At 44.3% G+C, this 23,090-nt stretch overlaps 1 annotated feature.

The window, feature by feature from the left end:
- Positions 1,633-1,742: an enhancer, noted in NCBI's record as "active region_27066". NCBI's record gives its function as "activates an Ori minimal core promoter by ATAC-STARR-seq in GM12878 lymphoblastoid cells {active_cell/tissue: GM12878}" and the evidence as "EXISTENCE:reporter gene assay evidence [ECO:0000049][PMID:35858748]".

Below are 23,090 nucleotides of genomic sequence, written 5' to 3' on the forward strand. Positions count from 1 at the left end.
GCCCCCAGGACGGGTAGGCAGAGACCAAAGCGCCTTAAGCTGGGGGCAGCAGACTTCACCCCACCAGCAGAGCCGAGCACCTAATGTGTGGTAGACTTTTCACTTATATTCTATGAAGTAGGAAAATAATTTGCAAGCTCCTGGTTAATCCTCACCATTGCCATGTGAGGTGATATTATCCATTTCTACAGCAAAGAAACTGGTATGTGTTTACCTCAAAGTGCATATCATTTTGGTTCCAAGGCACACTTTTTCACCTTTTATAACATTTTTTTCCTCCTACTCCATCCTTTAGGGAAGAAACCAGGCATTATTTAATCAATGATCTATATTACAGTGAGGCTCCAGACTATCTGCCTGCCTACAAAGACTGTGCTATTTCGATATCACTATATGGCATTGCCATTGCCTCCATCAGCACAGAGTAAAGGTGAAGGTAGGTGTGCCCTCTCAACTCAGGGCTCCTCCCAATCATGGCTCCTGCTGTGAACTGAATGTCTGTCCCTATAAAATTCATATGTTGAAATCCCAGCCCCCAAGGAGATGTTATTAGGAGAGAGGGCCTTTGGGAGGTCATTAGGCCATGAGGGTGGAGCCCTCATAAATGATATTAGTGTCCTTATAAAAAAGACCCCAGAGAGCTCCCTTGCCATTTTGGCCATATGAGGACTCACCAAGAAGGCACTGACTATGAAGCAGAAAGTGGATCTTCATGAGACATGGAATCTGCCGGTGCCTTCACCTTGGACTTCCCAACCTTCAGAACTGTGAGAAATACATTCCTATTGTTTGTAAGCCACCCAGTCTATGGCATGTGTTATAACAGCATAAAAAGACTAAACAGCTCCTGAGCAGACAGCCTCAGATGACCCAGGCCTGGCATTTAGCCAGCAGCCGCCAGAACTTCTCCATCTTTTCTTTTTAAAGACTAGTGTTTATTCTGATGGGTGGATATCCATGCTGAGCCAATTGTTAAATATTGTCATCATAATCCATGGCCCTACCATCTGTGCCAAGGTCTCACCAGCAGGTTAATGCATAAAATGAGCCCTGTTAAGCACATGGAACTGTGCTAGGCCCTGATCTGAAGGCTGAGGAGTCCAAGATTAAAGCACCAGCTTATCCTGGGGCTGGAGAGGGCTCATTTCTCATAGACGGCACCTTCTGACTGCTTCCGCACATGATAGAAGAGGTCAACAGGATCCCTGAGTTCTCTTTTATAAGGGCTCTAATCCCATTCCTGAGGGTTCCACCTTCACTACTTGTTACCTCCTAAAGTCTCTACCTCTCAATAACATCCCATTAAAAATTAGGTTTCATTATAAGAATATTGGAAAGACATAAACATTCAGGGCATAGCAATAGGAAGCTGATCTGAGACCAAGTGCCTCAATATGAGATGATGCCTCCAAGCTCATTTCCATTTCTTTAGAATAAATAAAAACCAACAAGCCTTTTTCCCCCGAGGGCTTGCAATGTACTAGGTGTTTTTAATACATTTCATCTAATTTAATCATCAATATTAACTCAGCATAGATTAAGTGTCCAATAATGTAGGAGAATCAGAGGACTGAGAAAAGTCCAGGGCGTGGATTTTGCTGTCAAGGAACACCCAGCTGTAATGATTCGAAACTAGATGTGCCTTGCAGAAGTGAGAAAAGGCTTGGTTTTACAATCATACAGACCTGAGCTCACATCTCAGCCTTGCCACTCACCACCTGAGCTCAGACAAGTCCCAACTTGAGTCTCAGCTACCCTATCTATAAAAATAAAACAAACAAAAAAAACAGAAAAAAACAAAAAAACAGACCCTGAGATCTATCTTGGAGGGTGGTTGAGGGTTGAGTAAATTAAGATGCGTTGAAGTACCTAGCACAGCATCTCACATAGCAGATGTGTCATCATCATTAGCTGGGTTGCAGTTTCTTTTCTTTTTTTTCTTATATGAATTTATTTCATTTGATAGGATTTTTATCCCATCTATGATGACAAATATTTTTCAACAGCCTTTTACTGTATCTTTTAATTAATTTTAGAGACAGGGTCTTGCTCTGTTGCCCAGGCTGGAGTGCAGTGGTGTGATCATGGCTCACTGCAGCCTCGACCTCCTGGCCTCAAGCGATCCTCCCACCTCAGCCTCCCAAGTAGCTAAGACAAAAGGTGCATGTGACCATGTCTGGCTAATTTTTTATTGTTTTTTTTTTCTAGAGGCATGATCTCACTCTTTTGCTCAAGCTGGTCATGAACTCCTGGACTCAAGTGATTCTCCCACCTCAGACTCCCAAAGCTCTGGGATCACAGGTGTGCTGTATGTTTTTAAAATAAACGTTTTATTTTAGAATGGTTTTAGACTTACAAAAATATTGGAAAAACAATACAGAACTCCCATTTACTCCACACCCAGTTTCCCCTATTATTAAAATCTTATAGTCCATTAATCATAACTAGTGAACCAATATTGATACATTATTACTAACCAAAGTCCACCATTAATTCAGATTTCATTAGTTTTTACCTAATGTCCTGGTTTTTCTGGTATTACCCCATCCAGGACACCACATTACACTTAATCATCACATCTTCTTAGGCCTTTCTTGACTGTGACAATTTCTCAGACTTTCCTCGTTTTTGATGTTCTGAACAGTTTTGAGAAATACTGGTCAGATATTTTCAAGAATGTTCTTCAACTGAAATTTTTCTAATGTTTTCTTCATGATCAGAGTGAGGGTATGAGTTTGGGGGTGGAAGATCACAGCTGAAGAGCCATTCTTGGCACACCCTATCAAGGGTACACACAATTGATGTGTGTACCTTATCCCTCTCAGTGTTGACCTCGACGCAAGGCTGAGGAGTGTGGTCCAAGTTTCTCCACTGTCAAGCTACTCTTTTTCCTCCTTTGTCGTTAGCCACATTTCCCCCATTTGCAGAAGACAGGACTTACCCAGATGAAACAAACAGCCAATAGTGTAAGATAATACATGTGGAAGTCTAAAGCAAGCAATAGGAAGCCACTAAATTCAAGGAGGAAAAGCTGGACAGAGTTAATGGGCTCTGACAAAGCCCCACTGGGGAAAGATGCCTTAAACTGGGGTAGTCATGGCAAGGTCAATAGTGTTTGGCGTGGAGGTTGGGAATGGGGAAAGCACCCTAGGTAAGGGGAATGGCAGGCGCAAAGGCAGGAGCATGAATGAGCATGCGCGTCTTGGGCCAGTCGGTGGCGGCGCCACCTCACTGTGGTTGGAGAAAGTGATCTGGGAATAGTCAAGGCTGCGTGGAGGCACTGTGTGATTCAGAAATATGAAGACGCATCCTCTTAAGGAGTGGTCTCCAGCCTTTTTGGCACCAGGAACCAGTTTTGTGAAAGGTGATTTTTCCACAGACAGGGTGGGAGTAGAGAGGGATGGTTTCAGGATGATTCTAGCATATTACATTTATTGTGCATTTTATTTCATTATGACTACATTATAATATATTATAATATATAATGAAATAATGACACAACTGGCCATAATGTAAAATCAGTGGGAGCCCTGAGCTTGTTTTCCTGCAACTAGACAGTCCCATCTTGGGGTGGGGAGACAGTGACAGATCATCAGGCATTCGATTCTCATAAGGAATGTGCAGCCTAGATCCCTCACACGCACAGTTCGTAATAGGGTTCGTGCTCTTATGAGAATCTAATGCTGCTGCTGACCTCACAGGAGGCGGAGCTCAGGCGGTAATGCCAGCGATAGGGAGCAACTGTAAATACAGATGAAGCTTCACTCACATGCCCGTGGCTCACCTCTTGCTGTGCGGCCCAGTTCCTAACAGGCCACAGACCTGCACCCACCTCCTGCTGTGCAGCCCAGTTCCTAACAGGCCACAGACCTGCACCCACCTCCTGCTGTGGAGCCCAGTTCCTAACAGGCCACAGACTGGCACCACTCTGTGGCCTGAGGATTGGGGACCCCTGCTCTTAAATATTCTTTGAGCCTATTCATTCCACAAGAGAGCAGAGCTAAAACTAGATTCAACAAGCAGGAGAACAAAGGGAGCTGCAGGACTCAGCCCCTCTGCCCACCTCCACAAGAGATTCTAGCCCAGTCCCTCTGCCTAGACCGCAGCCCTACCCAAAGTCACAGGAGGCTCCTTGTGCCAAGATCTTGTAGCGGCAAAGAAAGGCAAAGAGGTCAAGTCCTTGCACACCCAGCCAACTGCTTCCTCCTATGCATGTACATGTTTGTAGTTACAGAGGTCTGTGCCCTCACCCAATATTCCCCATGGGTTTACAGACATGTTCACACGTGGGTGCAAGCTGATCTCCATTGTCAGTACACAGATGCCCATGAATAATGCCGTGGATATACACATGTGTGTTGCACAAGCTACACAAGCTAAAGCTGGTAACCCAACCCTGAAGACCCTCACGAGCTGCTGTGGGGGATCTTGGCAACCACCCTTCCTTGCCAGCCAGGTCCTCACTGCTGGAGCAGGTAAGCTTATTCATCTTAGTTTCCTACATCTTCACCTCCATCAGCTGCTTCGCTACCCTGGATGGGCCAAGCACGGGGACTGGACTACAGTGCAAGCTTTTTCGAGGGAAGTTGCAGAAGAGAATGCCAGTAAATAATCTCTGACTGGCTCAAAGTGCTGATAACCAGTTTATGGGGAGAAAATGTGCTGCTTGTAGTCTCCGGGAACTGAGTTTCTAGTTCATTTCCATCTGCGTGGGAGGGGAATGCAGGGACTACTGGAGGGTGGGTGATGTTGGTTTAAAAAAATGAAAATCCATTTCTTTTTCCTTTGTCCTGTGGTCCAACAAGGCAGAGCCTTGCAGTCTACAAGGAGGGGGTGTGAGTGGCCTCTGGCTACATGGCAGGGCAGGGAGAAGCAAGAGGACAGGACCGAAGGCTCCCCACTCTGCACCAGGATGGGCACAGCCCAGGATGGAAGGGACTTGCTGAGGCCAGGCACAGCCAAGCTTTGGAGTCGCACAGAGGGCTGAATTCAAACCCTAGCTCTTTCACTGCTACCTTGTTGAGCTTGGGCATCTTAAGTAATCACTCTCAGCCTGGGAGTCTTTCATACATGGTAGGCGGTACAGAAGAATGGTTAAGAGCATCAATGCTGGAGTTACCTGCCTGGGTTTGATTACAAGCTCTGCCTCTTTCTCAACTGGTTGTCTGGAGAAAGTTGCACACCTTTCCTGTGCTTCATTTTTGTCATCTGGAAAATGCCTCGTTATAAAATTACTCAATAAATGTTAACTGTTTATGAAACAGTTTACCTGCAATAAAAACAACTTTAAGAAAAAAAGGGTTGAAAACGATTTACTCTCAGAATATGGGTACTCCAAGGATCACCTTTCTTTAGGAGAGGAGGGTCAACAGTAAAATGGTTGGCCTAGATGACCTCATGAAGTTACTCAGTTTGTCCATGTGTTTGAATAATGGACACCACTTGGTAAAAGAAATGTTCTAGACACTTTAATTCACACCACCATCCTGCCACGGTAGTATGCATTGAGCTTTGAGAGATATTGACTCCTGCCTTCTAGACACTGGCCACTTAAGAAATAGAGCCACAGAAAATCACAATATCAGCCGTATTAATGGTCAGGCTGAGTTGGACTTGGACCTGGGACCAGAATGGAGTCTCTTGTTAGTTCTTCCTATCCAATAAAACTATGTCTTCCCTGAAGACTCTTGGCCAGTCTCTTAGGGCCCCACAGCAGCAGGCAAAGGATCCCCAGACATGTGCAAGCAGGGAGACCCTGGGCAGGGGACCAGGTGGCTCATTGCATGGGAACAGGGGTCAAAAAAAGAGAATGGGTTTCTTTATTGAGAAAGCTGAACTCAAAAGGGGGAGGTTGGTCATACATTGAGCATCAGTCTTTCTCCTAATCTCTCTATCCAGGGGAACAGTAAGTGTAGACAGAAAAATCAATGGTATATTTCCAATCCTGTATCCTCCTGAGAAACTATGCAAGCTGACAGTCAATGTCTGTCCTAAAAACGTGGCTATTCTCTGTCGACGATGTGGAGAGTGGTATTCAGAGAGGTCAAAGGACTTGTCTAGGAACATCAGACTGGCAGAGCTAATGTTGAAACCCAACCACAAATGCCTTGCTCTTCTCCTTACCCCACTGCATGTCCTGGATCATGCTGGGTCTGCATGCTCATCCGGACTCTTTCCAGCGGTCCCTAGCTGCTCATCAGAATAGCCTGAGTCTCTTCCTCCCAGGCCCACCGGCTGTTGCTTGGCTTGTCTGCACTCCACACTGTCAGGAGGCGACATTCATAGACAGTGATGACTAACCATCCTAACAAATGGTACAGAGAGTAAGTGCTAAAAGCGTTCAAAAATAGCCCAGAAAGCCCTGGGCACACACCAAAAGGGCAGAATGACACTCTGAGTATTTCAAAGAGGGAGACACAAGGAATGCCAGTGCTGAGCTGGAGTGACCCTTTCCCACACCACAAGGCTTGCAGGAGCTGCTGAGGCCAGTGTGGAGTGCAGGGCCACAGAAGGGCCCTCTGCCTGCCTCTGTGTGTGTGTGTGTGTGTGTATGTGTGTGTGTGTAACAAGCAGCCTTTAGCAGGAAGATGCTGCCCAGATAGAGGCCTTCCTGGATTCAAATACAATGAAGGGCCTGACCCTGCTTGTGTCTAAGCTCATGAAGGAAATCCTGCTGCTGTGAGATTGGACAGCTATGTGATGGTAAAAGCAAGGGAGTACAGAGGGAGAGCAGGCAACCAAGGGAACGAAGTCAAGGCAGGAATGACTAAAGAGGTGATCCTTGATTTCAATCCCCTTGATGGGCAGGGGCTCACAGGGCCTTTGTGCAGCTCAGACAACCCCAGCTGACAGTGGGGTCTCCTTCAGAGCTGTGGGTGTGCCCTGGAGTGCAGGTGCAGAGACAAGACTCCAGAGCAGAGAACAGCCCAAGTGTGAGAGATCTAAGGGAATCAGAAACCAAAAGTCAGGTTTAAGGCAGATAGTGGAAACCGGAGCAAAACCAAGGAGTGGAAAAGCCCAGGAGAGGGAAATGGGAAGAGCTGTTCTAGGAAAAAATCTAAATAAGGCATACAATTTTTTGTTGCATAGAACTGTCCTAGGCATTGCAGCCTTGGGCCCCACATTGAGAGAACCAAAGTCCTCTCACAAATTTGCCAACTATCAGTAGTGCCTCCCCTGAGGATCAATGTCTGATCCATGGGAATTCTGATAACACAATTACCATACTTCACCACACTGGGTTCAACACCACTGTCAAAGATAGGGCCCTGGAGCTCGCATTTTCCCTAAGAACGTAGCCTAATATATGGGGAATGTGCTAGGCTCAGCTAATTACACTTTGGTTTTTTATTTATTTTTTACAGATGGGATCTTGCTTTGTACAGTATTGTGATCATAACTCTCTGCAGTTTTGAACTCCTGGCCTCAAGCGATTGTTCTGCCTCAACCTCCCAACTAGATGAGACTACAGGCACACACCACCAGGCCCAGCCTAACTGCACTTTGATGCTAACTGACTCTCCATATTCATACCTTCTAGCTTCTCCATCCCTCCTGATCTTGAACATGTAAACAATGGCAGGTGGAAACGCCCTCCTGGCTTTCCTGTGACTAAAGGTTTTCACTGCCACTGCTGCTCACCATGCTAGGGGCACCTGCCTCGCTCTTTGAGAAAGAAACCTGACATCCAGTGTTCTTCCTCATTCCTGCCTCTTGGATCCTCGAGATTTCAAAGGTGAGAAATCTTCTCTGAGCTCTCTATAAGCAGGCTTCTGATTAAATTGGAGAAGTTAGGCGATGAACACCAATACAAAGATTTTCATATTTTTTATTATAAATAGCCCAAATATTTGGTCCCATTTCCAGTTTAAATGGGTAAACCATAATATTGATGGTTTTCAACAGATGGAAGATGAATTGAGCTTCTCTACCAGCTAGCTGAACCACTTTTAATGGGGAATATATCGAAGCTATAAATTCCTGCAGACAGTATTGCTATGCAATAGCATAATATATCTTCTATTCAATCTTTTATACATTATGTTTTGTCCTGCATTCCAGTGGATATATTTATGGATCTGAAGCTTTGCCATGAAGAGGCACCATGCACCTCCTCATTCCCATCTCTCAACATTTCCATGGCCTCTGGAGATAGTCCTCTCTTGTTCTTGTTCTATGTAAAAGACCTGGAGTCTGACCCCTTTGTCCCCATGGGTAAGTTTTATCTCTGGGAACGAAGCTTTGTGGCCCCAAACGTTTCTGGGACCTTAGTGCTCACTGAGAGGTAGAGACGCTATGGAAAATGAATGGATGCTTGTAAGTAGGAGAGCTGACCCCTTGCCCTCTCTCCTGACACAGCAGTTGGGGACCTCTGGCTCTAGACACATTTTTATATCACAGGTAGAGAAGGCTAGAATGCTATTGCCACAGTCTATTTTTTTGGTGGTGGCGGTTTCTCCTATGAGACAAATCAAGACCTAGCAGTAGTTCCTATAAACTAAGTCTCTCTGTCACCAGCCCCACCCCTCAGAACTGGATGGGACCAAAATGCGGCAGACAGCACAGTCAGAGGGAAGAGCAGCTAACTCAAGCCAGAGTCTTGGAGACAGCTTGATCCAGGTCTGCCTTTGCTACTTCCCAGCTGTGTGACATGGGCGTTATCCAAAACCTCAGTTCTCTTATTCACAACAAGGATAACAGTACTTCTAGTGGTGTGCTGGTAAATATTCAATGCCCCTATTGTGTTTATTGCCTTTGTTTTTACTGTAATCTATTTCATTGTAAGTTTATATAATTTTATTTTTAGTAACAGGTTTAACAAGTGACTCACAGCATTTCTGAAATTTAACGGTCAGCTCTCCCGAGCTGGCCCCAGCACAGACTCTGCATCCCACAGAGTGTGGCTGTGAAGGACCAGTCACTGAGGGCTCACACGTATGCACTAAGGCCTGGCAACCTTAGCGACAATGAGAATAATTTTGTCAACCTTAAAAATGATATTATCAACCTTAATAATAAGAGTGGGGAGAGGGCCAGGCATGGTGGCTCACACCTGTAATCCCAGCACTTTGGGAGGCCGAGGCAGATGAATCACCTGAGGTTGGGAGTTTGAGACCAGTCTGACCAACATGGAGAAATCCCATCTCTACTAAAAATACAAAATTAGTGGGGCGTGGTGGCACATGCCTGTAATCTCAGCTACTAGGGAGGCTGAGGCAGGAGAACTGCTTGAACCTGGGAGGTGGAGGTTGCAGTAAGCTGAGATCAAGCCATTGCACTCTGGCTTGGGCAACAAGAGTGAAACTCCATTTCAAAAAAAAAAAAAAGAGAGTGGGGAGAAGGGGAAGGGAGAAAGAGGGGGAAGTGGGTACTGGGAGATGATTTAGACCACTGTCAGCACTGAGGGAAGCCAGTGACCTCATCCTTTTCCAGTCAGAACATCACCGGGTAGCTTCCTCATTTGGCTTCCGCTTACCGCACTGGGAATTCTCCAAACGTCATACACAGCTATTTTCAAATGCCAGGGCGAGGCATACGTCCCAATGCTAAATTGAAGTGATGTTTGTATTTCTCATCAGTACCTGATCCACTGTTCCCTTCTCTCTGCATAAAACAGGAGTTGACTGTGAGCAGAGCTGCACAACCAGCTTCACTGTTCCCAGGTAGACCCCGAGTGATTACAGACTGGATGACAAGGACGAATGAATGAAGCTTTTCTCCTCTGGTACAGTGTGACTGGTATGAACACCTACCTTGTAGGGTTGTTGTGAGGATTAATTGAGATAATCCATGTAAAGTGATTAGCCCGATGAATGTTTGCTGTTGCTCTTCTCCTTGGGCCTGAGGAAACCTAATCTAATGGTATAGGTGTAGGGCAGCCATTCTGACATGGTGATTAGGTGTTCTGGCAAGCTTTTATCTTCCCTGCACTGTGAACCCGAGAGATTCCACCTGGCCCCCTTTCTGGACTTCCTATTATTTTCACTGTATTTGTTAACAGAAATAAAAATTCCCTGACCTAGAAATTTAAAGAGTCATGAGTTTCCCACATGACATTCATAAAAAGAGACTGGATGGCTCTCCCCACAAAGAAGTCAACCAATCCTAGAAGCTTCAGGCTCGCCAAAAAATCAGAGATGGTCATTGACTCTCCCTCCTCCTCCGGTCCTCCTCCTCCCCTACACTTCTCCTCTCCTCCCCTCCTCTTCCTCCTCCTCCCCCTCCTCCCTTCCCCTTTTCCTCCTCCTCTCCTTCCTCCTCCTCCTTCTCTCCCTCTTCCCCTCTTCCTTTTTCTCCTCTCCTCCCTTCCTCCCCTCATTTTCTTCCTCCTCCCCTTCCTCTCCTCCTCTCCCTCTTCCCCATTCTCCTCTCCTCCCCACCTTCTTTTTCTCTTCCTCCTCCTCTCCTCTTCCTTATTCCCTTCTTCTCCTCCTCCTCCTTTTCCCCTCCTCCTCCTCCTCCTCCTCTTCCTTTTCCCCTCCTCTTCCCCTCCTCCTCTTTCTCTTCCTTCTCCAGAGATTAAGAGGAAAAGCACAAGGTCTGGAGTCAGAGGCCCTGGTCTGACAACAGCTCAGCAACTCTTGGCCAGGGGGGCTGGAGAAACCACCTCAGCCCTCTGAGCCTCAGTGCCCTCAATTGGAAAATGGGAACAGTCATTCCTAACTCAGAGGGCTGCTTTAAGGACTGATTTAAAAGACTTTGTAAACTGAACCCTGCTCCACCTGGGTTCATGGCTATTGTTAGTGTAGCAACCTGTGTCTTACAAAGCAGTTCAAATCCATTATCTCCTCTCAAGTTTATATCCCTAAAGGAGGTGCAGAAAATGGTGGTTTTGAAGGAGTTGCATGGAGCTGCTGGGTTGGAGCAAAAGCTTCACTCCGGGCTGAAGCAGGAAGTACTTGGGAACAATAGGGTGAAGCCAGCCTAAGAGTTTAGGCTCCACAGTGCTGGTAATGGGATGCGTAGGAGATTGGAGCAGAGCAGTGACAGGTAATTGAATTTGCTGAATCTCGTGGAGTTGACTTGTTCTTGTCTCCATTCCCTCAAGTAAAGTCAGCCAGTTCTTGGGGTTTAACAACCATCTGTCTCTCTCCCACACAGAGGTAACAGGATACTGGAAGAGACTTTTCCTGGTACCCCAGAATTGACAACCAGAACCCCTATCTGGCAACAAAAAGGCACTGAGAATGCCATGTTCTAAAGAGAGCCTCCACAGAAAGACAAATACCGCACATCCTGATTCATAAGTGGGAGCTAAATAACGTGTACACACGGATGCAGAGAGTGGGTTGATGGACGACAGAGACTCAATCAGAAGGGTGAGGGGGTGAAGGGATGGCTGATGACAAATTACTTAATAGGTACAGTGTATCTTATTCAGGTGATGGATACCCTAACAGGAGTGACTTGACAACTACACAATCTACGCATGCAACAAAACTGCACATGTACCTCCCATAAAATGATACAAATACATATATAAAGAAAGCTTTCAAAGTTAGACTCGGACCCTACTTCCACCCAGATGTAGTGCAAGGTGGCAGAGTAGGCTCTACTGCCACCAGCCACTCCCAACCCCCCGCGTCCCTTCCCTTCCTCCAGTCTCTGTAGGGTAACCGTGGCTGGAGAGAGAGTATCTTTGGAGCTCTCAGTTACTGAGGTGCACAGTTGTACAGTAGCCTTTTTATCCCCTCCAGTGAGGGGTTAGGATCCAAGGGGAGCACTGGCTGAGACTGACTGTGATTGTAGACACAGCACCTGCTGCTGAGACAGCATAGCACAGATGTTTCCAGCAAAACCGAGGGACGCTAGCCTGTCGAGGTCCAAATCCCAGTTCTGCTGCCCCAACTGTGTAACCTTGACCAAGTTACTGAACCTTCCCATACTTCATTTTCCCATCTGTAAAACTGAGATAACAGTAGATACTTCGTGTGGTTATTGTGAGGATTACATGTTGCTATGGACTGAATATTTGTATCTCCCCAGATTAATATGTTGAAGCCCTAACACCCAATGTAATGGTAATTAGAGAAAGGCCTTTGGAGGGTAATTAGGGTTACATGAGGTCTATTTCTGCTTTTAAGCTACCCAGCCCATGGTATTCCATTACAGCAGCCTGAGCAGACAAACACACATGGATGGTAATTTTGAGCACAGCCTGGCACATAGTAAGGGCACTGTAAATGTTTGCTTTGATCTATTAGTACTCAATTCCAGGATGGATGTTTATTTCTGCAAAGAACTTGTTAAACTGCTGCATCCCCTCCTGAGCAGAAGATACGATACTTGCATGGAAGAGAGGAGAGCCGGAGGAGATTGGTAGTGGGGCAGCTGACACTCCAACACAGGGCATGTCAAGTAGGTGGCAGCTACTATAGACCCAGGAGTGCCCTGAGACACACTGCATTGCCATTGTCAAATACACCAAAGGGCCACTAGGTGAGAGGACCCAATAACAGGAAGCCATGGGCTGGAAACCCATTCAGGGAGCTCAAGTGGGGAGCAAGAGAAGCCCCTCAGAATTCCCAACATGCACACCTGTGCCCCACAGGGAACAGTATCTGGACTCCTGCAGAGAAGGGCGCGATGGCCAGGCAGCCACTGCCAACAACAGGCTCAATTAATTAAGAAAATGTTTGCCTCTTTCCCTGTGCTTCCATGTCCTTATATTTCAACCCTGCAGGAGCTAAAAGAGGAGGAAACAAAAAATTAGAGTGGGCATTCATCCCCCACCCAAACATACCCTGCAGCTTCCTCAATCCACACGAAAAGCCTACTGAAGGGTAAGGAAAAGAAATGAGGTTGATCTTGGATATGAAACTTGAATTTAACTACAACCACTAGAGTTTAGTTTCGCCTTCATTTTTGTGACTTCATTTTAATTGGCAATACAGTCACCTGGTATAAGAGGTACAGACCAGTGGCAGCCAGATGAACACAGAGGTCCCCATTTGGATGTGGCCAACTCCAGCCTGCTGTGGGGACAGGGAGGGCCTTGGTGTGTCACAGGATCCCTAAGCACAGGAAACAGAGGCTGTGTTTCCAGGTGTGGGCTTTCCCATTATTGGACTGACTGCATGACCACATCCTTTCAGACTAGGATCCCTGACATTGGACCCGTCCAGGCAGGAGCTCTGCAAGCCTTCTTTATCAGCAGACAAGGAAAGGAAAATCATCCAAGAGAGGAAGCAGGAGTCCTTCAGACAATGAGACAGTGTCCCTCTTTTGGTGGGGGAAACGCATCCGTTTTTGGATTGACTTTCCATCACAGCCTTTCAAACTAGGCACCCCTTTTCTCAAACATGGCCTGCTCAGGAGGCCCCTCCTCCAGGTATGCCCCCTGTCTGCTGCTCCAGTGTCTGCTGCTCAGAGATCCCAGCCCAGTGGTCAGGTGGAGACTGAGTGTGCCTGGTGGGTTGGGGTAACCCAGCTCCCTCATCTCCCTCTGCTTACATCCTCCCTTTTCAGATGCACCCACACTCCAGCAAGAGCAAACCCATCCTCCGTGCCTCTGTTTCCCTCCCTCCATGCTCCTCTTCTCTTTATCCCAACCCTTGGGCCTTTATAAGGCAGACTTGGGTGTGGAAAAGCAGAATACACAGGCATCCTCCAAGGCCAGCTCTGACAAGCACACCTCCTGGTCTACAGAAGGAGCCCCTAAGGGAGGAAGGGAGAAATGTGGAAGGCAATTTGAGCATCTTAGACATAGAGCAAGCAGCTGGTTCTTACTAGGGTGCTTTTGGAAATTGATGGGGTGTCTTCAGCTGCCATAACTGAGAATTGCCACCAGGCTACTGGCATTTGGAGGGCAGGGCCAGATGTGACAGATGCTCTGCAGTGAGGGGACAGTCCTACACAACACAGAGCATTACCCCATACCTTGTATGATCTTCTAATGCCATGCAGACATTTATGTAGGAACCATTGCTGATCTATAAAAATAGATGAGCTTTCTCATTTTTCCACTGGGATAATCTAAACTTTGTCTTAGACTACTAACTCTATTTTACTCAAGGTCATGTTTTTGCTATTTCTTATGCTGTACAAAGGTCTGTTCATTCTTATCCAAATGGTGGTTTTCATTTTAGGATTTACCCATATCTGTGATCTTTCATTTTATTTTCCTTTTTGTACATAATTCCCTCTGATCAGTTCTTAAATCCAAACTTATTCTCAGTAGAAGTAAGCATCTGACTACTTCATGAGGACTCATAGCATGGTCATTGCCAAGCATTTATATATAGAAATAAGTGCCATTTTATATCAGCTTTATAGATTCCAATGGTACAAAATATGAAAGCGAGTGTCTCTCCTATTCTAGTCCCCCAGTTTTCTTCCCCCAAAGCACTACTGTTAGCTGTTTCTTTTGTGTCTTTCTAGAGATATCCTTGGCATTTATAGGCAGATAGAGAGATATATGGATAGATGGGTAGATAGATGATGCAAAGACAGATGGATAGATGAATGAATAGAGAAATTCGTCGTGTTTTAAGTGGTAACCCTATGTTGCGGTATTTTATGGAGATACTCCCATATCAATACCTGAAGCCTTCCACATCCCTCCAAATGCAAATAGATCATTCCACTATATGGTGATCTTGATTATTTAACCAGGCCCCTATTGTAGATTTGTGTTACCCATGATCTTTCCTTATTGTATGCAATGATATTAAATAACTTGATGCAAACAACATTGTGTGTATGTGCAAACGCAGTTGCAGGATAAATTCCTAGAAGTGGAATCAGTGAGTGAAAGGGCATGTGCATTTACTTTTGGTAAAGAGTGTATGAATTAAATTTCCATGAGCAATAGTTAGGAATCCCCATTACTTAAAACCTGCCTGATACTTTGCATCCTCAAACTTTTATTTTTGTCAGTATCATAGGTATCTTATTATAACTTTAATTTGATTTTTTCTTCTGATGCTGTGAGAATCAGCATATTTTAATATTGAGGAATCATTTGTATTTCCTTTTATGTGAGCTCTTCATAGCTCTTCTTCATGTTCAACTTGGACGACTAAGGTTTGTTTGTCTTATTGGTGTTTAGGTACACATTATGTGTGTGATATGTCACAAGTATTTTCTTCTCTGTCATGTTTTAATCTTATTTGTTGTATTTTTTCCATGAAGAAATTTGTTTTATTTGTACAGCCCCATTTTCTAGTCTTTTTTTTTTTTTCTTAAGGCTACTGGGTTTTGTGTCAAACTCTAAAAGATAGTTCCCACTCTGAGATGATTAACAACAACAAGAGAAAATTCCCATTTATTCTTTTGGTGTCTTTTTTGGTACACCTCTTTGATACATTGGAATTTATTTTGGAGTAAGAGGTAATTCACAAATCAGACTTAATTGTCTTCTGGATAACTACATAGATATTCCAACATTATTAACTGAAGCATTTATTTTATGCATTTCAAATGTACCTACAGCAAAAAATAGAGGCATCATAGCATAGCAGTTAAAAACATAAACTCTGGATCCGATTGCCAGGGTTCAAATATCAGATGAGAATGCCAAGCACATTCCCTATGTGTCCACTGTCATTACTGTTGCTCTTATTGCCTGCAGTCTCCCCCTCTGCATTTGGTGCTAGTGTTGATCTTTCTACTCATATGTCCCACATTCTTCTAATTATTGTAGCTTTACAATGGTTATATTTTATGTTATCATGGTAGTCACTATTATAACCTGTCTCTTTCTTCCATTATATACTTTAACTGGTTGTTCATGTATATGAAGGCTTCTGACATCTGAATATTATTTTCTACCAGCTTACTTACGAAATTCTCTTAGAGTTTAAAACTGTTTTAAGCCTTTCCAGATATAAGTATATGCAACCAGTGATTACTAATAACTTTACCTCCTTCTTTCCAATATTTATGCCACCTAGCCCTTTCTCCTATTTAATTACATTGTCAAGGACCTCAAGCAATTAACATTTTTATCCTAGTCCTGACTTCAGTGTGAAGGTTTTTAAGTGTTACACCATTATGCATAATCCTGGTTTGCGTATACAGATATGTTCTATCAAATTAAGTAAACATCTGTCTATTCTACTATATTAACACTTTTATCATGAAATTTGCTTTTTCTTTTTTTGTTGTTTTTTGGGTTTTGGTTTTTGGGTTTTTGTTTTGTTTTGTTTTGTTTTAAGACAGAGTCTGGCTGTGTCACCCAGGCTGGAGTACAGTGACACGATCTCTTCTTGCTGCAACTTCCGCCTCCTGGGTTCAAGCAATTCTCCTGCCTCAGCCTCCCTAGTAGCTGAGATTACAGGCACACACCAACACACCTGGCTAATTTTTGTATTTTTAGTAGAGACAGGGTTTCACCAAGCTGGCCAGGCTGGTCTCGAACTCCTGACCTCAGGTGATCTGCCCACCTTGGCCTTCCAAAAGTGCTGGGATTATAGGCATGAGCCACCACACCTGGCCACGAAGTCTGAATTCCATCCCAAATGTTTTTCATAGTACTTTGTTCTATTTCTATCATTAAATGCTGTGAATTATATTCATTATTCCATACTACAACTAGGTTTTGAGTGTCTATTATATGCGAGGTACTCTTCTAAATGCTAGCAATTCAAGAGTAAATACTTCAAAATTGGTCTGTGCCCTCACAAAACTTACTTTTTACCCAGGGAGACTTTCAATGTTCAAAGAGTTGTATTATATAATGTGAAGTATTATGTCAGTGCAATTATAGTAACAGACCACTTAATATTACATTCCTGGATGGTCTAGGTTTTTATAACGGAAAATGACCAGAAAGTTTTTGGATCTTTCCAAAATTTGATAAGGGGATCAGAAAGGGAATTTCACCAAACATTCTTAAAGACAATGAGTGAAAAAGAAAAACTGTCTGCCTCAGTAAGATCAGACAATTCAATAAACAGATTACACAGATTTTTGTTCATGGCATTCCATTAGAAATACTGAACAAATTGGGATTAGGGAGTGCCTAAATGGTTGTTTCAAAAGACATAGTTTCTATGAAAACAAGGATAACATGCAGTCATTTGCTGGCAAAGGGCTAGAAAAGGCAGAATGAGGACGGAGCCCCCAGACTGTCTGTACCTTCCCCTAGGAGATACGTCATCCACATGCTCAATGCCCTGTCTTCTACTCTACATTTGGCAAACTCTTTGTCATCTACCAGACAGGAAGTTGCCTCTGCTGAGAATCCTGTCCTGATTTCCTGTGTTAGCTGCTCTTGCCTCTTTGGTCCCCTGTGGTCCCCCTATGCTTACATCTCTCTTTACCTTCATCACATGATTTAATTCAGGTGGCAGTGGTAGATCACAGCATTATGGCGCACAATATGTTCACGCTTCTCTGTATCCGTATTCTGGTATATTCCCCCTGTCTCCCGACTCCAGGCTTGGCCATCAGACTTGCTTTGACAAGTGTGTAGAATACAAATGCTATGCAAGCAGAGACGAAAAGGTGTGTGCATGTGTTGGGGCTTACGGTGTCCTTTTCCTTTTTTTTTTTTTTTTTCCTTGAGATGGAGTCTCACTCTGTCACCCAGGCTGGAGTGCAGTGGGGCGATCTCGGCTCACTGCTAGCTCCGCCTCCCGGGTTCATGCCATTCTCCTGCCTCAGCCTCCCGAGTAGCTGGGACTACTGGCACCCGCCACCATGCCCGGCTAATTTTTTGTATTTTTAGTAGAGACAGGGTTTCACTGTGTTAGCCAGGATGGTCTGGATCTCCTGACCTCATGATCCACCCACCTTGGCCTCCGAAAGTGCTGGGATTACAGGCGTGAGCCGCTGTGCCCGGCCCACCGTCTTTTTTTCTTTAGAACCCTGACATGACCACAAGAAAAGCCCGCCTACTGGAAGTTGAGAAGACCAGATGGCACAGAGACAAGCCACCTGCTGAGGCCCTGCACCGGCCAGTCTGCCACTGCCTGCCTGCCTTGGAAGTGAGGTTGTGCTACTCATCTGACAAAGGGCTAATATCCAGAATCTACAATGAAGTCAAACAAATTTACAAGAAAAAAACAAACAACCCCATCAAAAAGTGGGCGAAGGACATGAACAGACACTTCTCAAAAGAAGACATTTATGCAGCCAAAGAACACATGAAAAAATGCTCACCATCACTGGCTATCAGAGAAATGCAAATCAAAACCACAGTGAGATACCATCTCACACCAGTTAAAATGGCAATCATTAAAAAGTCAGGAAACAACAGGCACTGGAGAGGATGTGGAGAAATAGGAACACTTTTACACTGTTGGTGGGACTGTAAACTAGTGCAACCATTGTGGAAGTCAGTGTGGCGATTCCTCAGGGATCTAGAACTAGAAATACCGTTTGACCCAGCCATCCCATTACTGGGTATATACCCAAAGGACTATAAATCATGCTGCTATAAAGACACATGCACACGTATGTTTACTGCGGCACTATTCACAATAGCAAAGACTTGGAACCAGCCCAAATGCCCAACAATGACAGACTGGATTAAGAAAATGTGGCACATATACACCATGGAATACTATGCAGCCATAAAAAATGATGAGTTCATGTCCTTTGCAGGGACATGGATGAAATTGGAAATCATCATTCTCAGTAAATTATCGCAAGAACAAAAAACCAAACACCGCATGTTCTCACTCATAGGTGGGAATTGAACAATGAGAACACACGGACACAGGAAGGGGAACATCACTCTCTGGGGACTGTTGTGGGGTGGGGGGAGGGGGAAGGGATAGCTTTAGGAGATATACCTAATGCTAAATGACGAGTTAATGGGTGCAGCACACCAGCATGGCACATGTATACACATGTAACTAACCTGCACATTGTGCACATGTACCCTAAAACTTAAAGTATAATAATAATAAAAGAAAGAAAAAAAAACATATATAATGTAGACTAATGAAGAGGTCTCACTTGTTGGGACCCAGACACGGCAAAGTTACCGAACTAGCACTACTGGTTTTGAAATATGTTTCACCTACTTACCATGATAGTATTCCCATATAAATACATATTTGTAAGTATTTTCCAATTCTGTTTTTATTTCAATGTGGGTAACATGGTAGTTTAGATTGCCAAAAAGAATGTTTTACTTTCTTTCAAATTATAAAAATGTCTTTAGAATACTAACAATCCTGAGTTTATTAATGGCTCATTTTGTTTAGCTCATTTTGAAATAAAAATCTTACAACCAAAAAAAAAAAAAAAAAAACAAAGTGAGGTTGTGCTAGGCCATCCAGTCCCAGCAAAGCTGCCAGCTGACCACAGACATCAGCCAAGCCAACCCAGACCTGGCTCTGACCCAAAGAATTATGAGATATTCAAGAAATGTTTATGTTAAGCTACAAAGTTTTGGAGTGATTTGTGACATAGCAAAGGTTGACTGATAGACCACCACCTGCCCCTCTTACTCAATTATCAGCACTTTGAAGTCAAGATCACATTTTATTCACTGTCACAGAGTCTAGCACAGTGCTGGGCACAGTGACTTTCTGATGAATACTTTTAAAATGGAAACCCTGATCTCAGAAGGAAAGATTCTGCTTGTACCCTCCCTTGTGTCACATGACTCAACCTGCTTCCATCAGCCACATCTGTCCCAGAGACGACATTCGTGAGGCTGCTTTGTTTAAATGTAAACAGACTATAAACTCTGTGAAAGTGGGGACCTCCTTAGTGTTTGCTCATGGCTGTGTCATTCAACACCTATCACAGCGATGTGACAGGGCTTTGGCAAATATCTGTTGAATAAATGAACCAACACAGCTTGGCATTTGCAGCAGCCAGTGACGTGGCCTGGTGGCAGGGGGTGTTAGTCATCTCTTTCCCGCACACACAGCCTCACAGCCCTGTGCCCTCCTCATGGCATGACCAATGAGCATGCTTCCCCACAAGGGACAATGTGGCTCGTGGAGCAGAGCAGCAGGAATGGTGGCCTGAGGGACCTTAGAGGTCAGGCACAGCTGGTAGCCTTCTGCTGAACCTAGACAGGTGGTTTCATGCACAATACACAGTCCTCTCCAGTGGGCACTAATTTAGAAAGTCTCCTGGTTGAGGAAGGGGCAGTGGCCTGAGAGGCCAGAGACTGGAAACTTGGGCTCAACTCTGCTGTGTGACTCATTTCCACTGACCTAACTTCTCCACACCACAGGGTCCTGCCATCCCAGCCTAATATACCAGCTCAGAGAAACAAAGTAAATCATATAAAATAGCTTTCAGGAAATAAAAGGTAAGAGACCACCTTCAACTTATAAGTAGCCTGTGTTCTACATAGTCATGTTTCAGAAGGTTGTTTTGAAGTAGGTAATATATTTTCCCACAGAAAACCATGTTGAAAATGATGGTTAGCTTCCCTGGCTCTTACTCAAAAGCCTTTTTAAACCATAACGTAACTGAAATAACTTATATTTGTGAAGAAATATGGCAGGAAAAATACTGTTGCAATACTAATCATTAAAACAGAAAAAAAAAATAATACCGTGGAATGAGGAAGAGTGTTTCTGATTCATCACAAGTGCCAGCGTTTGAAGAAAACTGGATTTAATTGGAAAAGAAGGAGGCAGTAAAGAGGTTTTATGAAGATTTAAAGACAACTTTTGGTCACAACTTCAGATGCCCAAATGTGGGCACTGTTTCCCCCAAAATGAAAGTTTGTCCTATTCTTAGTGCTGCATCCTAGGTATGTTCCTCTTGCTGTGATTTTGTCCATATTTTGAGGCACACATGGAACGAGAAAAGGGAGAGAAGATCCAGCTGGTGAAGAGCTGAAAGAGAAGGAGGAAGGTGAAAGGAAGAGATGACTAAGCCTGGGGGCAGCCAAGAAACATTTTCCATGCTTACTGTGCACCACACTGGATGATTTTCCTGTGTTCTCTCATGTCTTCTCCTTATCTTAACCTGCTAAAAGGCATTTCCCCATTTTGTAAATAAATAATAGACTGGGACTGGACAGGAAAGTGACTTTGTCAACAGGTTTAGTGAAGAGGCCAGAGGTCAGTCTTAGGGCTGCTTAACTCTAAAGCCCATTTTCTTTGCTCTCTACTTGACTGTGGAGAAGGAGGACAGAGGAAAAGGGAAGCATGATTTCTGTGGAGATGGTGAGGAGGCCATCTGAAGCAGGTGGTACCATGCCCCCAGGACATTTGGTTGTCAACTGGAGCAAAGGGTTGAGGAGGCTGCACCCTTGGAGTGAGGAAGAAAAATGTGCAGACAACCACCTGAAACATGTAAGGTGTTGAAAGTCAGGGCTCACAATTCCAGGAAAAGCCAGGGCAAATGCAAGGTTCTTATCATCATCCATTCAGGCTTCCCTAACAGAACAGACTGAACTAGGTATCTTATAAACAACAAAAAACTTATTTCGGACAGTTCTGGAGGCTGGGAAGTCCAATATCAAGGCATCATTAGAGTCGGGGTCTGATGAAAGCTTGCTCATTGGGTTTACAGATGGCACCTTCTTGCTGCATTCTCATATGGTAGAAAGGGCAAAAAAGCTCCCCCTGGGGCCACTTTTATAAAGGCACTAATCCCCTTCGTAACGCTTCTGCACCCATGACCTAGTCACCTCCCAAAGACCCCACCTCTTAGTATCATCACCTTGGGGGGTTAGGATTTCAACATATGAATTTGGGAAGGATAGAAACATTTAGCCCTAGCAGCACTATTAACCAAATAGATACAGTCCTTACCCTTAAGAAGCTGTATCTCAAATGAATGATCCAAAATGAGATTAAATTCATAGAGAGACAGGGAAGAGAATTATCTCAAAACAAAGCACAGAACACTAAAGAAGAGAAGTTAATCAATAAATAAAGCAAAATTAATCACAGAAGAATATGTGCTGAGTGGAAAATGCACCTTGCAAGAAAGACACTTTATCCTCGGGTAAACAACCGGGGAGAGTGTGCAGGGAAGAAGAGCAACTTTGCAAATTACCATTTTCTTTCATGTTGATCAACCCAGGGGTTCTCGCTCATAAAATTAAAAGAAATAAAATTAAACTGTAACCAGCTCCCTTGGGCTCCTTGGAAGCGCTCACGCGGCATGGAGGGGGCTGTGAGGTGGGAAGCACATTAGGATCCTTCCATCATACTGCTTTACTTCCACATCTATCTTGTGATGCCAAAGCTACATGATCAGCAAGAATAGCAATGTCTCCCAGACAAAGGGGTGCCCATTTCCTCAGGACCACCCACCTTGACCCCAGGCAAAGCCTCCAAGACTAGGGCAGCTCTCACTTCCTTCTGCATCCACGTCCCTTCCACTCAGCCCATCAAGCATGCACATTGCCCATTTGCTCTGTGTCAGTGGCACAAAAGTGCCACTGGGCATGCAGATGTCCCAGGCATGGTACCTCCCCTCAAGGAATCTATGACCCAGTTGCAGAGAAAAGGCCAACATGAGGAACAACCAGAGAACAATGTTAAGATGAATTCTGTGCTCTTTCCACAGAGCCCTACCACCTGCGCCAACCCCCTCCTTTTTTTCCCCAATTTCCTTGATTTTCATCAGGAGCTCCATATTTTTAGGTGTTATGTTAACCTCTGACATTGGGTTTCCCGTCTGGAACACAGAATTGATGTAAGAAAAAAAAAGATGAAAATTAAACCTTTAGCTCTTAACTTTGCAAGTTAACTGTGTAAGTAAATCATTTATATGTTTTAAAAAGTGATGGATTAAATGTAAATATTACCTGTTATCATTGACAGGTCAAAGGTGATGTCATCAGTGGAGCACAAATTAGACTATATGGCCATTCCTGGAATATATGCTGAACACTAAGGTAGTTATACTCTTTGAGGGTGAAACCTTTGGCTTAACAACTAGATAATGAGCATGAGCCCCCAACAAGGGAAACCACTTCCCTCTTAAACAGCAATGGATCCTGCAGGTCTGGAACAGAATGTTGGAATGCCTGCTTTCTTTGCTGCTACTCCTCCTTATTCTTTCCTTGCACTGCCCCCCTCCCTTGTGTGTGTGTGTGTGTGTGTGATCAACTTTGTTTTAGAAGAGCAAATAGAAATTGATTATGCAGGTCCCATTAATTGCCAGGAACTAAAGCATTTTACAAGCATCATCTAATTGAGTTCTCATAACCA

The sequence above is a fragment of the Homo sapiens genome, chromosome 8 (assembly GCF_000001405.40).
Source record: "Homo sapiens chromosome 8, GRCh38.p14 Primary Assembly".
NCBI classification, from domain to species: domain Eukaryota; kingdom Metazoa; phylum Chordata; class Mammalia; order Primates; family Hominidae; genus Homo; species Homo sapiens.